At 35.4% G+C, this 17,231-nt stretch overlaps 1 protein-coding gene across 26 annotated transcripts in view, besides 1 other annotated feature; it reads right to left on the minus strand.

Moving 5' to 3' along the window:
* The window catches only part of SCAPER (S-phase cyclin A associated protein in the ER), a 557,437-nt gene that overhangs the window by 301,786 nt on the left and 238,420 nt on the right, over window positions 1-17,231 (minus strand). For all 26 annotated transcript variants that reach the window (NR_148227.2, XR_007064448.1, XM_017022273.2 and 23 more), the window contains one exon: window positions 15,964-16,100. Coding sequence is in view for 24 of the 26 variants with exons in the window: in XM_017022273.2 (XP_016877762.1) it covers window positions 15,964-16,100 (137 nt within the window). In the remaining 2 variants the exon portion in view is untranslated. The remainder of the gene's footprint in view (window positions 1-15,963; window positions 16,101-17,231) is intronic.
* Window positions 4,646-4,845: a silencer, noted in NCBI's record as "silent region_6689". NCBI's record gives its function as "represses an Ori minimal core promoter by ATAC-STARR-seq in GM12878 lymphoblastoid cells {active_cell/tissue: GM12878}" and the evidence as "EXISTENCE:reporter gene assay evidence [ECO:0000049][PMID:35858748]".

Here is a 17,231-nt window from a genome sequence, read left to right on the forward strand (position 1 = left end):
AACCAAAGCCATTAAAAAAACACAATAACATGTTTAAGAGATGAAAGAAAAAAAATGTCATAACAGAACTCTACATCCATTAAAAATTTCATTCAAAAATAAAGGTTAAATAGACGTTTTCAGGCAAACAAATGCTAAGAAAACCTACTGTCAGTAGACCTGAACTATTAAAAACATTAAAGGAAGTTATTCAGATGAAAGAAAATGACACCACATAAAAATTCAGAACTACATGAAGAAGCAAAGAGCATAACAAATGGTTTCTTAAATTATTTAAAAGATAACTGAAAGATTGGAACAAAATTAAAATGCAGGATTTGTTACATGAAGAAGTAAAATGTATGATAACAGTAACACAAAAGGCAGAGGAAAGGAAGATGGACGCATAAATTGTTGCAAGGTTCTACAATAGTAACTGAAATACTATAATATTATTTGAAGGCATACTGTGATGGTTAAAAGATACATATTTGAAACTGAGCAAACACTAAAAATAAAAAGTGGTAGAGCTAATAAATCAATGAAGAGACAAATGTCCAGACTAGGTGAAAAAAGGAGATTCAATTACATGATTATAATAGTTACACATTAAATATAAAGAGACATAGTTAAAATTTACAAGGAAAAGAAAGGAAAAAGATACTATGCAAAAAACAAATTTTAAAAAATAGAAATAATGCTATTAATATTACACAGAGTAGGTTTTAGGATAAAGAGAATTAGAAGAAGATATGAAGAAGGAAAATTGATAATGGGAAAGGGAACAATTTGTCAAGAATATATACTTCTAAATTTGTATATATATCTAATAACAAAGTTTCAAAATTTGAAGAAAAACTGGAAAAAACCTGAAGGAAGAAAATTTTTTAAACATAATAATGATTGAAAATGTGGACATTCTTTTTGAAGAAACAAATGGAACAATATCAGAGAGACAATACTACAGATAGAACATTACAGAATATTCTAACAGTACTAACCACATAGACCTAACTGACATAGAAAGTACACCTATAATAAGCACAATATAAGTGCATTTCAAGTAAATAAGCAATATTGTCCAAGGCAGACCAGTTGCTGAGAAATACAACAAATCTTAATATTTTTAAAGGGAATGAAATTATACACAGTATCTTCTCTGACCACAGAAAATTAAATCAACACTTAAAGACAAAAAGATATCTGGAAAGTTCAAATGTTTGGAAATTCAACAAAACACTTCTAAGTAATCAATAGGTCAAAGAAATTAAAAGTCAAATTAGAAATATTTTGAACTATATCAAAATAATACAACATATTAAAATATGTTGAATGTAGGTTAAGTAGGTATTAGAGGGAAAGTGATAGCTATAATTACATATATTATAAAAAAAGAGCTTTCAAATCAATAATCTCAGAGGCCACCTTAAGAAATCAGGGGAAAAGAAAATATAAATATGAAGTAAATACAAGTAAAAAATAATAAAGAACATGAAATAAAAACGAACAAACAAAAATCAAATGCAGCAAAAATTTGTTATTTCAAAAGATTAACAAAATTGATAAATTCTAGACCAGAGATCGGGGGGAACGAAGGAAGAAAAGACAAATTAAAATTTTCAGTAATGAAAGAGAGGATGTCACTAAAAAGCATACAGGAATTAAAAGAAAAATAATGCAATTTTCTTCAATGCAAGCACACAATCTTCCTAACTCAATGCAAGCACAAGATTGAATTATTTTTCTTTCCTGATTGCTCTGGCTAGGACTTCTAGTACTGCGTGGAATAGGAGTAGTGAGAGTGAGCATACTTGTCATGTTTTAAAATTGCATTTTTTCAATGCAAGCACACAATCTTCCTAATTCAATCCAAGCACAAGACTGAATTAGGAAGAGATTGAAATCATGAATAAAGCAGTATCAATGTAGAAATTAAATTAGTAACAAAGAACCTACCAACCAAAAAAAAAAAAAAAAACCCTTGACCAGATAGATTCACAGCCAAATTCTACCAGACATACAAAGAAGAAATGACACCAATCCTACTAAAACTATTCCCAAAAAGCTGGAGATGAGAGACCTCTCCCTATCTCATTCTATGAAGCTAGAATCAGACTGACACCAGAATTTGGCAGAGGCACAATGGAAAAAAAAAAAAAAAACTTCAGACTAACATCCCTCACAAACACAGATGCAAAAATCCTCAACAAAATACTAGCAAATAAAATCCAGCAGCACATTAAAAAGTTAACACACCACAAATCAAGTAAGCTTTATTCCTGAGATGTAAGGCTGGTTCAATCAGCAACTCAATAAATGTGATTCACCACATAAACAGAATCAAAAGCAAATTCCATATAACCATCTAAATAGATGCAGTGGAAGCATTTGATAAAATCCAACACCCCTTCATGATGAAAACTTTCAACAGATTAGGCATCAAAGAAACATAACTAAAAATAAGGCCAGGCATGAGGGCTCACGTGAGCCTGTAATCCCAGCACTTTGGAAGGCTGAGGCAGGTGGATCACTTGAGGTCATGAGTTCGAGACCAGCCTGGCCAACATGGCGAACGCTGTGTCTCTGCTAAAAAAAAAAAAAAAAAATATATATATATATATATATATATATATATATATATACACACACACACACACACACACATACACATATATACACACACACACACACACACACACACACATATATATATATATATATATATATATATATAGCACTTTGGAAGGCTGAGGCAGGTGGATCACTTGAGGTCAGAAGTTCGAAACCAGCCTGGCCAACATGGTGAACCCCGTGTCTTTGCTAAATATATATATATATATTTACATACATACACACACACACACACACACACACACACACACACACACACACATTAGCCGGGTGTGGTGGCAGGTGCCTGTTATCCCAGCTACTCGGGAGGCTGAGGCAGGAGAATCACTTAGAGCGGGGAGGCAGAGGTTTCAGTGAGCCAAGATCGTACCATTGCACTCCAGCCTGGGCGACAGAGGGAGATTCTGTCTCAAAAAATAATAATAATGATAATAGTAAGAGCTATCTACGATAAACCCACAGCCAACATCATACTGAAGGTGCAAAAGCTAGAACCATTCTGCTTGGATCTGGAACAAGACAAGGACTCCCACTCTCACCACTCCTATCCAACACAGAACTAGAAGTCCTAGCCAGGGCAATCAGGAAAGAGAAAGAAATAAAAGGTATCTAAATAGGAAAAGAAATCAAACTACCTCTCTTTGCTGACAATATGATTCTACACCTAGGAAATCATAAAGACTCTGACAAAGGGCTCCTAGAATTGATAAATGACATTAGTAAAGTTTCGGAATACAAAATCAATGAACAGAAATCAGTAGCATTGCTAACAACATCTAGGCTGAGCGTAAAATCAAGAACACAATCTCATTCATAATAGCCACACGAAAAATGAAATACCTAAGAATATAGCTGACCAAGGAGGAGAAAGACTTCTAAAAGAACAACTACAAAACTGCCGAAAAAAAATTACAGATTACACAAACAAATGGAAAAACATTCCATGCTCATGGATTGGAAGAGTCAATAGGGTAAAAATGGCTATACTGCCCAAAGCAATTTACAGATATAATGCTATTCATATCAAACTGCCAATGTCATTCTTCACAAAATTAGAAAAAATGATTCTAAAATTCATATGGAACCAAAAAAGAGCCCAAATAACAACAGCAATCCTAAGCAAAAGAATAAAGCCGGAGAATCACACTACCCAACTTCAAGCTATACTATAAAGCCACAGTAAACAAAATAACTTGGTATTGGTACAAAAACTGACACATAGACCAACTGAACAGAAAACTCAGAAATAAAGCCACACATCTGCAACCATCTCATCTTCAACAAGGGAGATAAAAACAAGCAATTGGAAAAGAATTCCCCATTCGATAAATGGTGGTGGAATAACTGAATAGCCATATGCAGAAGATTGAAGCTGGACCCCTACTTTTCACCAGATACAAAAATTGACTCAAGTGAATTAAAGATTGAAAAGTACCTCAAGCTACAAAAATTCTAGAAGACAACCTAGCAAATATTTTTCCCAACATCACCACTGGCAAATAATTTCTGGCTAAGTCCCTAAAAGCAATTGCAACAAAAACAAGAATAAGCAACAAGTGGGACATAATTAAACTAAAGAGATTCTGCACATCAAAATAAACTATCAGCCGAGCAAAGAGACAACAAACAGAATGGGAGAAGATATTCAGAAACTATGCATCCAACAAAGGCCTAATATCTAGAATCTACAGAGAACTTAAACAAATCAACAAAGAAAATAACCCATTAAAAACTGGACAAAAGACATGAACAGACACTTCTCAAAAGAAGATATATAAGTGGCCAAGAAACATGAAAAAATGCTCAGCATCACTAATAATCAGAGAAATGCAAATCAAAACCACAATGAGCCCAGCACTTTGGGAGGCCAAGGCGGGCTGATCACGAGGTCAGGAGATCAAGACCATCCTGGCTAACACGGTAAAACTCTGTCTCTACTAAAACTACGAAAACAAAAAATTAGCCGGGCATGGTGGTGGGCGCCTGTAGTCCCAGCTACTCGGGAGGCTGAGGCAGGAGAATGGCGTGAACCCGGGAGGCGGAGCTTGCAGTGAGCCGAGATCACACCACTGCACTCCAGCCTGGGTGACAGAGCGAGACTCCGTCTCAAAACAAAACCACAATGAGATACCATCTCATACCACTAACAATGCTATTACCACAAAGTCAAATAACAACAGATTCTGGTGAGGCTACCGAGAAAAGAGAATGCTTACAAAGGGAATGTAAATTAGTTCAACCACTGTGGAAAGCAGTCTGAAGATTTCTCAAAGAACTTAAAACAGGGCTACCATTCGACCCAGCAATTCCATTACTGGGTATATACCCCAAATAAAATAATCATTCTACAAAAAAGACATTTGCAGAAATCTGGAAGTGGTTGCCAAGGCCACCAGGCAGCAAATATGAGTGGGACAAGTCCCTGACTCAGGCATCCTGCTTTCCCTGGCCTGGCTCACCAGGTCCTACCAAGGTGGCTTACTCTTTTACAATTTTGGGTCTGGTTGCAGGGGGCCTGAATGCCATTAGCTAACAAAGCTGGTGGAGTGAATCCACTTCATACCATGATCAAACCTCCAAGGGCAGCAAAGAAGCTAAAAGGAAAAAGGATAGCAACTTCAAAGATTAAAGAAACAACATCTCACAGAGCTGAGAAAGAACTAGTGCAAGAACTACGGTATCTCAAAGCCAGAGTATCTTCTTACCTCAAAACAACAGCACTAATTCTTAACAACAGCAATGATTCTTAACCAGGCTGAAATGACAGACACAGAATTCAGAAGATGAAAAGGAATGAAGATCATCAAGATTCAGGAGAAAGTGTGAACTGAATCCAATGATTCTAAGGAATACAACAAAATAATACAGGAGCTGAGAGACAAAACAGTCATTTTAAGAAAGAACCAAACTGATCTGATACAGGCAAAAAACTCACTTTGAGAATTTCATAATAAAATTTCAAGAATTAAGAGCAGAATCAACCAAGCTGAGGAAAAAAATCTCAGATCATGAAGACTAGTTTTCCAAATTAAATCAGACAAACATAAAGAAAAAAGAAGAAGGAACAAAACCTCTGAGAAATATGGGATTATGTAAAGAGACCAAATCTATGACTCATTGATCTCCCTGAAAGAGAAGGAGAGAAAAAGCAAGCAACCTGGAAAGCATATTTGAGGACATCATCCATGAAAATTTCCCCAAACTCTAGAGAGGATAACATTCGAATTCAAGAAACTCAGAGAACCCCTGTGAGATACTACACAAGACAACTATGTGCAAGACATACAGTCATCAGACTCTCCACAATCAAAGTGAAAGGAAGAATTATCCATGATGAACATGCGTACAAAAATCCTCAAGAGAGAAGGGGCAGTCACCCACAAAGTAAACTCATCAGGCTAACAGTGGATCTTTCAGCAGAAACACTATAAGGCAGAAGAGATTGGACGCTTATATTCAGCATTATTAAAAGAAATTCCAACCAAGGACTTTAAATCTAGAAAAACTAAGCTTCATAAGGGAAGGAGAAATAAGATCCTTTTCAGACAAGCAAATGCTAAGGGAATTCATTACCACAGACTTGCCTTAAAAAAGGTCCTTAAGAGATAGTGGAAATAGAAAAGATTATCATGGCCCACAAAAACAAACAAACAAAGACACTTAAGTATGTAGGCCACTAACACTATAAAGCAACTGCACAATCAAGTCTGCATAATAACCAGCTAACAACGTGACAGGATCAGATCTGCATGTATCAATATTAACTTTAAATGTAAATGAAAATAATGCCCTCAATTAAAAGGTGGAGTGGCAAGGTGGATGAAGATGCAAGACCCAACCATATGTTGTCTTCAATGGACCCATCTCACAAGCAGTGATAGCCACAGGTTCAAAGTAAAGGGATGGAGAAAAATCTAACAAACAGGAAACAGAAAAAAGCAGGGGTTGCTACCGTAATTCCAGAAAAAAATAGAATTTAAATCCACAACAAACCAGACAAAGAAGAGCATTACATAATAGTAAAGGATTCAATTCAACAAGAAGACCTAACTATACTAAACATGTATGCACCAAACACAGGAGCACATAGATTCATAAAACAAGTTCTTATAAACTTATGAAAAGACTTAGAAAACCACATAATAATAGTGGGAGACTTCAGTACCCCACTGACAGCATTAAACAGACTACTGAGGCAGAAAACTAACAATGATATTCGGGGCCTGAACTTGACACTTCATTAAATGGACCTAATGATATCTAGAGAACTCTCCACCCCAAAACAACATAATACACATTCTTCTCATCTGCACAAGGCACATGGTCTAAATCACCCACACAGTGAGCCATAAAACAATTCTCAACAAATTCAAAAACCCAAAATCATACCAACTACAATCTCAGACCACAGCACCACAGAAGTAGGTATCAATTCTAAGAAGAGTGCTTAAAACCATACAATGAAATGGAAATTAAACAACCTGCTCCCAAATGACTTTGGAGTAAACAATAAAATTAAAGCAGAAATCAAGAAATTATTTGAAACTAATGAGAAAAAAAGATATGACATACCAGAATCTCTGGGACACAGCTAAAGCAGTGTTAAGCGGGAAGTTTATAGTGCTAAACTACCACATCAAAATCTTAGAAAGATCTCAAATTAACAGCCTAACATCACATCCAGATGAAGTAGAGGAAGAGGAACCCAACCCCAAAGCTAGTGGAAGACAAGAAATAATCAAAATCAGAGCTCAACTGAAGAAAACTGAGATGAGAAAAAATCATGCAAATGACCAACAAATCCAAGAGTTGATTTTTTTGACAGACAAAGTAAGACTGATAGACCACTAGCTAGACTAATAAAGAAAAAAAGACATAAGATCCAAATAAGCACAATCAGAAATGCCTAAGGGAACATTAATACCAGCCCTACAGAAATGTAAAACATCCCTCAGAGACTATTACAAACACCTCTATGCATACAAACTAGAAAATCTAGAAGAAATTGATAAATTCCTGGAAACATACAACCTTTCAAGATTGAATGAGGAAGAAATTGCAATCCTAAAAAGCCCAATAACTAGGACTGAAACTGAATCAGTAATAAAAAGCCTATGAACCAGAAAAAGCCCAGGACCAGATTTAGAGCCAGATTCCACCAAATGTATAAAGAAGAGCTGGTACTATTACTATTGAAACTATTCCAAATAATGAGGAGGAGGGACACTTTAACTCATTCTATGAGCCAAGCATCATTCTGATATCAAAATCTGGCAGAGACACAACAACAAAAAAAAAAAAAAAGAAAGAAAGAAAGAAAAAAGAACACAGGCCATTATTCATGATGACATGCATACAAAAATCCTCAAGAAAATGCTAGCAAACTAAACCCAGCAACACATCAAAAAACTAACCCACTATGATCAAATAGACTTTATCCCTGGGACATAAGGTTGGTCAACAAACACAAATCAATATATAGGATTCATCTATACACAAAACTAAAAACAAAAATCATATGATCGTCTAAATAGATGCAGGAAAGGCTTTCAATAAAATTCAACATCGCTTCATGTTAAAAACCTTCAACAAACTAGGCAGAAAAGGAATATGCCTCAAAATAATTAGAACTGTATATGTCAAACACACAGCCAATATCATACTGAACAGGCAAAAGCTGGAAGCACTGCCCTTGAGAAATGGAACAAAACAGGATTCCCACTATCACCACTCCTATTCAGCATAGTACTGGAAATCCTAACCAGAGCAATCAGGCAAAATAATGAATAAAAGGCATCCAAATAGGAAGAGAGGAAGTCAAACTATCTCTATTAGCTGACGATATGATACTATCCCTAGAAAACCCCATAGTTTCTACCCCAAAATTCCTAGATCTGATAAAAAACTTCAGTACCATTTCAGGATATAAAATCAATGTACAAAAATCAGTGGCATTTCTACACACCAACATCCAAGCTGAGGGCCAATTCAAGAATGCAATCCCATTCACAATAGCCACAAAAAAGAATGAAATACCTAGAAATACAGCTAACCATGGAGTTGAAAAATGTCTACAACAAGAATTACAAAACACTGCTCAAAGAAATCAGAGATGACATAAACAAAGGCAAAAATATTCCATGCTCATGGAGAGAAAGAATCTATTGTTAACATGGCCATACTGCTCAAAGCAATTTATAGATTCAATTCTATTCCCATCAAACTAACAATGATATTCTTAACAAAATTAGAAAAAAATTATTTAAAAACTCATACGGAACCAAAAAAGAGCCCCAGTAGCCAGAGCAATCCTACGTAAAAGAACAAAGCTGAAGACATCACATTACCCACATTACCCAACTTCATACTATACCTTACAAGGCCATGAACCAAAACAGCATGGTACTGGTATAAAAACAGAAACATAGATGAATGGAACAGTAAAGAGAGTGCAGAAAAAATGCCGCACACCTGCAGCCATCTCATCTTTGACAAAGTTGACAAGAACAAGCAGTGGGGAAAGGAATTTCTATTCATTAAATGGTGCTGGGGTAATTGGCTAGCCATATGCAGAAGCTAAAACTGAACCTCTTATTTACACCATTTACAATAATCAACTCAAGATGGATTAAATAACTTAAATGTGAAACATCAAACTATAAAAACCCTAGAAGATAGCCTAGAAAATACCATTCTGGAAACAGGACCTGGTAAATATTTCATGATGAAGAAGCCAAAAACAATTGCAACAACAACAACAAACAATTGACAAATGAGACCTATTTAAAATAAAGAGTTTCCACACAAGTAAAGAAAATATTACCAGAGTAAACAGCCAACCTACATACTGGGAGAAAATATTTGCAAACCATGAATCTGACAAAGGTTTAATATTCAGAACCTATAAGGAACTTAAACAAATTTACAAGCAAAAAACCAATCTCATTAAAAAGTGGGCAAAGAATATTACAGACACACTTTTTTTTTTAAAGTCAGGGTCTTGCTCTGTTGCCCAGGCTGGAGTATAGTGGTACAATCACAGCTCACTGCAGTCTCGACCTCCCAGGCTCAAGTGATCCTCTTGCCTCAGTCTTCTGAGAAGCTGGGACCACAGGGGATGCCACTATGCACTGCTAACTTTTTCATTTTTTGTAGAAACAGGGTCTTGCTATATTGTCCAGGCTGATGTCAAACTCCTGGCCTAAAACAATCCTCCTGCCACAGCCTCCCAAAGTGTTGGGATTGTAGGCGCGAGCCACCACACCCAACCGGAACAGACACATTTTTAAGAAGACAAACACATGGTCAACAAGCATATGAAAGAATGTTTAACATCACTATTCATTAGAGAAATGGAAATCAAAACCATAATTAGATATCATCTTATACTAGTCAGAATGGTTATTATTTAAAAAGTCAAAAAATAAATGCTGGCGAGGCTGTGGAAAACAGGGAATGCTTATATACTGTTGGTGAGGGAATGCTCATATATTGTTGGTGGGAATGTAAATTATTCCGTTATTGTGCAGAGCAGTCTGTAGATTTCTCAAAGAACACAGAACAACCATTTGACCCAGCAATTCCATTATTGGGTATATACCCATAGGAATATAAATCTTTCTACCATAAAGACACATGTATGTCTGTGTTCATTGCAGCACTATTCATAATGGCAGACATGGAATCAACCTAAATGCCTATCAATGGGAGAGTGGACAAAGAAAATGGGGTACATATGTATCATGGAATACTATGCACCTATAAAAAAGAATGAGGTTGCATGCTTTGCAGCAATATGGATGAAGCTGGAGGTCATTATTCTAAGCAAACTAATGCAGGAACAGAAAACCAAATACTACATGTTCTCATAAGTGGGAGTGAAACACTGAATACACATGGATACAAAGAAGGAAACATCAGACACTGGGGCCTACTTGAGGATGGAGGGTGCAAGGATGTTGAAGATAAAAAAACAACCTATTGGTTACTATGCTTATTACCTGGATGACAAAATAATCTATACAGCAAATATCCTGTGACATGCAATTAACCTATGCAGTAAAGCTGCCCAAATACCCCTGAACCTAAAATAAAAATTTAAAACAATAATAAACAAATAATTTAAAAGGTGTGCTCCCCTCTTCTCTAGGGGGAAAAAAAGGCATACACTCATGTGGTCATCAAGGCAGTATTTACAATAGCAAAAACATGGTTTTAGGTTGTCTATGGGAACATGGAACATAGATCTATGATGAAAACTCTCAAGAAACTAAGAATAGAAGAAAGCTTCCTCAATCTGATAAAGGACATCTAAAAAAATAAAAACAAAAACAAACTACAGTTAACATCATCCCTTAATGGTGAAAAACTGCTTTCTCCCTAACAACAGGATCAAGGCTTCTGTTCTGTATTTTACTGAGGGTACAAGACAGTGTAGTATGATAGTAAAAACAGTATACAAATTGGAAAGTAAGAAACAAAACTTTTCACTCCCAGATACCATGTTCATGTACATTAAAAATCTTATAAATTTACCAAAAAAACTAATTAGAGCTTATAAGTCAATTTGGCAATGTCCCAGAATATAAGGTTAATACGCAAAAAAAAAACTGTTTCTATAAACTAGCAAGAAATAAGTAAAAATGAAAACAAAATAACGTTTTAAATGATATTCCATGTGTAACACTTATACACTAAAAATCACAAAACATTACTGAAATTTTATGAAGAAGCTCTAAGGAAATGCAGAGAATATACCATAATCATGAACTGGAAGACCCAATACAATACTATCACAATGTCAGTTATTGCCAAGCTGAGCTATAGCTTCAATGCAATCCTAATCAAAATCCCAACAGGCTTTCTTATTTTAGAAAGTAAAAAACTAACTTAAATGTAAAACCCAAAACTCAAAACCATAAAAACCCTAGAAGAAAATAGAGGCAGTACCTTTCAGGATACAGGCATGGGCAAAGATTTTATGATGAAATCGCCAAAAGCAACTGCAACAAAAGCTAAAATTGACAAATGAGATCTAATTAAACTAAAGAGCTTCTGCATAGCAAAACAAACTATCATAAGAGCAAACAGGCAACCTACAGAATGGGAGAAAAATTTTTCAATCTACCCATCTGACAAAGGTCTAATATCCATAATTTACAAGGAACTTAAACAAATTTACAAGAAAATAAAAACAACCTCATCAAAAAGTGGGCCAAGGACATGAACAGACACTTCTCAAAAGAAGATATTTATGCGGCCAGCAAACATATATTAAAAAAAGGTCAACATCAGTGATCATTAGAGAAATGCAAATCAAAACCACAATGAGATACCATCTCATGCCGGTCAGAATAGCGATTACTAATAAGTCAAGAAAAAAACAATGCTGGGGAGGCTGTGAAGAAATAGGAATGCTTTTACACTGTTGGTGGAAATGTAAATTAGTTCAACCATTGTGGAAGACAGTGTGGCGATTCCTCAAGGATCTAGAACCAGAAACACCATTTGATCTAGCAATCCCATTACTGGGTATATACCCAAAGTAATATAAATCATTGTATTATAAAGATACATGGACACTTATGTTTGTTGCAGCACTATTCACAATAACAAAGACATGGAACCAACCCAAATGCCCATCAATGATAGACTGAATAAAGAAAATGTGGTACATATACACCATGGAATACTATACAGTCATAAAAAGGAATGAGATCAGGTCCTTTGCAGGGACATGGATGAAGCTAGAAGCCATCATCCTCAGCGAACTAATGCAGGAACTGAAAACCAAACACTGCATGTTCTCACTCGTAAGTGGGAGCTGAACAATGAGAACACATGGACACAGGGAGGGGAACAACACATACAGGGGTCTGTCAGGGGTCGAGAGGAAAGAAAGCATCAGGACAAATAGCTAATGTATGCTGGACTTAATATCTAGATGATGGGTTGATAGTTGCAGCAAACCACCATGGCACATGTTTACCTATGTAACAAACCTGCACATTCTGCACGTGTATCCTGGGACTTATAGTAAAATAAAATAAAAATAAAATAAAATCAGTTACAATAACAACAACAAAAGAAAGTAAAAAACTGATCCTACTATTTATATAAAAATTGCACAGTCCTGAGATAAGCAAAACAAGCTCAAAAAAGAAAACATTGAAGGACTTCTACTTTATTTGAAGACTTTCTACAAAGCTATAGAAATCAAGAGAGTTTAAAGATAAATTTATCAATGAAATAGAACTGAACTGAGAGTCCAGAAATATATTTAAACTAATAGGGCAGATTTACATTTTTATCAAGGTTTCAAAATAGAAACTTAGACATCAATGGAATGCAATAGAGTCCAGAACAGAATCACACATATATGATAGATTTTTTTAAATCAAGGTGCTAAGCCATATGGAAAAGAAAAATCTTTTCAAAAATGGTAGTAGAGCAGGCTATCTATAGAAAAATAAACCTGGACCCATACTTTATATCATGCCTACTAATTTATTTTAAATGGACTATAAGCCTAAATGCAAAAGCTAAAATTACAAATGTTCTAGAAAAAAATATGATAGAGTATCTTTTGACCTCTGGGCAGGCAAAGATCTCTTAGACACACCCAGAAAGCACTAGACATAAAAGAAAAATACTGATAAAGCATATATCATTAAAATAAAAAAAATTTGCTTATCAAAAGCTATTATAAAGAAAATGTATATGTAAGCTCCAGAATGAGAGAAAAGACATCTCAATACATACATCTGTCTGATAACTTGCAGTCAGAATATATAAATGACTAATAAAATGACAGCCCATTTTTTTAAATTGGGACACTTCATAAAGGAAAATACTGAACAGTTTTAGAGGATATGAAAAGATGATCAATATATGTGTTAGTCACTGGGGAAATGCAAATTAGAACAACGAGATACCACTACATTCCCACTAGAACTAAACTAAAATTTTAAAAACTAGTAATACCAAATATTGGCAAGAATGTGAAGGACCTGGAATTCTCACGGATTGCTAATGGGAGTATAAAATGGCACAACTACTATGGAAAACAGTTTGACAATTCTACTTGTAGGTATTTACCGAAGAGAAATAAAAATATTTGTTCACCCAAAGACTTTAAAGGAGCTTTATTTATAAATGTCCCAGATTGGAAACCTAAATGTCTATCAGTAGAATGTGGTATATCCATACAATGGATATAGTCAGCAATAAAAAGGGAAGAAATTACATATACACATCAACACAGATAAACCTCAAAAACAGTATAATCAGTTAAAAAAAAAAAGCCAGCTGCAAAAGAGTGGATGTCATTTGTATAAATTTCTAGAACTGGAAAAAGTAATCTCCAGTTATAGAAAGCATACCAGCGGTTGCCTCAGGCCAGGAGTGGTGGGAGACTGACTGCAAAGAGGAACAAAGAACTTTATGGGGAAATGAAAATGTTCTATATCTTGATAGGGGTATGGATTGTATGACTGTCTAGATTTTTCAAAACTCAAATGGTGTATTTTTGACATCGCCACATTGCACTTAAATAAATCATACATCAATGAAAAAAGTCAATAGATACAGTTAGTATGCATAGAATGGACACAGATGGCAAAATATTAGAAGATAAAACTATTTTTCCTATGGTTATTTACATTTTTAAGATTTTCCTTAAACAAAGCATTAGTTACATTTAAAAAAAAAGGCCCTCAAAAGCAGTTTCATTGATAAGGTGACATTTGATCAAAGACCTGAAGGAAGCAAGGAAGCCAGCTGTATGGATGTATGTGAGAAGAACCTTCTAGGAAGAGGAAACCTGAACTATAAAATCCTTGAGGTTTTGACAAGAGCAGCGACAGGCTGTGACTTACATTTTAGCAGGTCTGTTGTGGCTGCAGTGTTTAGAATATACAAGGGCAGAAACAAGACTAGTCAGAAGGCTACTATAACAATCCAGGTAAGAGCTGACTGAAGCTTTGGATCAGGGGAAAGCAGTGAAGTTAGAGAGACGTTGTCAAATTCTGAATATATTTTTAAAGCAAAGCTAACATTTGCAGTTAGATTGGATGTGAGGTGTAGGAGAAAGACAGATCAAGGATGACTTTAATGGTTTTGGCCTAAGCAACTAGAATAAAGTATTCATTTGCTGATATAGAGAAGACTATGAAATGAGGTAGGTTTTTGTGGCAAGAAGAAAGAGCAGGTTTGTTTTGGACATACTAAGTTTGAGTAAAGCTGAAGATATAAAATTGGTAGTCATTGGCAAGTAGAGGTATTTATAGCCGCAGAACCAGGGAGCTCACCAAGAGAATGTGAACATTAAAAATAGACAGGTTCAAAAAACAGGCCCTTAAAACATTCAAAAGTATCAAGAGGTCTGCAAGTTCTCAGGATAAACTAGAAATGAAGGTCAGTAATGCTCTAAAATACACCGTAAAACTATTCTGAGAAATCTGGACTAACTTCAAAAACTAAAATCAAAAAAGCCTTTTCTATTCTTTGATTAAATGAGCACTCTGAAGTTATCATTGATTATGTAAATTGAAATAGACACCTAGATTGATCATTATCTAAACACTGAAACTACAGAGAGATAACTGCACTGTTCACTATTATTGTACGTTCTATATTCCTATAATCCCATGGGTCAAGCTTCTCCATCTTTGAGACACTTAGTAGTAAAAGTATACGGACATATTCAGAATAGTTGCCCTTGAATAGCAAAGGATTATCTGCTAAAGCAGAGCTATCTCTGTGTCCTCGAACCGGACTCATCCGTCATCAGATGACACTCAAAGCTTGTGAGGTAATGATGTACTACACAGCTGTCTGATCTTCAGATGACACTTTGGAGGCTGATGATAAACTACAGGTCTGACAACTCACTTTCCATTTTAAGATATTTCTTGAACTTTTTCTTGTTGTGACAGGCAACCAAATTGATTAAGCCTAGTCATGGGATTTGACACTACAGCCAGTAGACTTCTATTTGTTGATTGCTATTGATTTTCTTTGATACTTCATTTAAAAATCAATAGTTGGAAAGAAAAATAGGCTTGGTTTACACATACTTAAACATACTATTGTATGCTGGAGGAGGCACAAGTTTGGCAGAGCTTTGGCATCCAATTATAAGAAGAGCTCTTAACAGGTGAAAGCAAGGGCTTTAGATCGATATGCAGTTTTCTTTCTCAATCAAGGAAAGTGGCTATAAATTAGGCTCATCAGTGTTATTTCCAAGGCTTTCATGAAGCAAACAACTTTAAACTTTTTTTGTCTTCCTTGGATTTACATTAAAAGATACATCACTAAAAGTTTTTCTTTTGCTTTTAAGGGTATTTAAGGTACCTGAAGTTCATCCGGGCTTTTATCTTTTTGGCTTTTTTTTTATTTTTTTGCCGCTCTTCTCCATCTTTCAAAGCTTCTGCTGGAGCTGTACTTTCAACCACAATGTCAATAATGTACTTCTTCAAGGAAAGATGCTCCTGCAAGATAAATAAATAAAATAATAATAATGAGGATGATCATTTAAATATAATATAGGATTGCTATAGACTACAGTGAGTTTAAGACATTTGATGAAACTAAAAGTAATCTCCGTAATACACTGGTTTCTACAATTGTTATGGAAAACGTTGAAGAAACTGTTTTACTTAAGGATTTTACATCACTGACTTCACTTCATTGCATATCAATTGTGCCAATGCTAAGGCTACATGGACATAAACCCTACCAAGATATCACACAAGTAGAGTAGGAAAGGTAAAATATATTCACAAAACTATAATATCATCTATAATACCAAGCCAATCAGAGATTTAGAGTGCCGTTAAGAACCCGAAGAGGGAAACAAGATCACTGTTCACTAGGCGGAAGAGGGGGAAACTTCAGCAAGGAAGCACCATATCTGCTATCCCTTGAAGAAAGGATAAAATGTGAACATACGGATATTAGGTAAGTATATTTGGCCTGTGAGTAGGGTGAGGCTGCAGGAAGGAAAAAGAAGGTCATCTCAGAAAACACATCCTAGAGATGAGAAAGTGGAATGTGGGTATCCACAGCAAAACTTTGGTTCAGCAAGAGCACATAGTGTTTGGTCAAGTTCCCCTCCTTATCCATCTTAGATTTTATGGCCTATCACTATAATCATTCTGTTGCCTGTGCTCAACTCTTTTCCCCCTTTCTTCTTTCATACATGCATGGCAAAATCCCAATCCTAAATCCAACTCTCTCCCTATTCTGAGCCTATGTCTGAAGCAGATTAATGTGGCTATAATTACAAACTTTAAATTTATGAAATTACACCTCAAGTGGCCTCTAGTATTCCCAGGCAGTCAAGCAACTTTACATTAGTTAATCTACACACTTGCCTTGCTAAAAATTATTTTAGACTCTCTCCTTAAATCTCCAATATCCGTCATCTCCTAACCCCATCTCTCAGTTCATGACTATGTTTATTTGATTAAGGAAAACAGCATTATTCAGACGAGAGCTTCCACACACTCCCACAGCTAAATGTATCAAACAATGTGCATATGTGCCCGTACACTCTCTTCCCTCCTGTTATAATATATGAACACCTGTTCCTATCTAAGAGCAAGTCCTCCAAATATAAA

Source organism: Homo sapiens, chromosome 15 (assembly GCF_000001405.40).
Source record: "Homo sapiens chromosome 15, GRCh38.p14 Primary Assembly".
Lineage (NCBI taxonomy): Eukaryota > Metazoa > Chordata > Mammalia > Primates > Hominidae > Homo > Homo sapiens.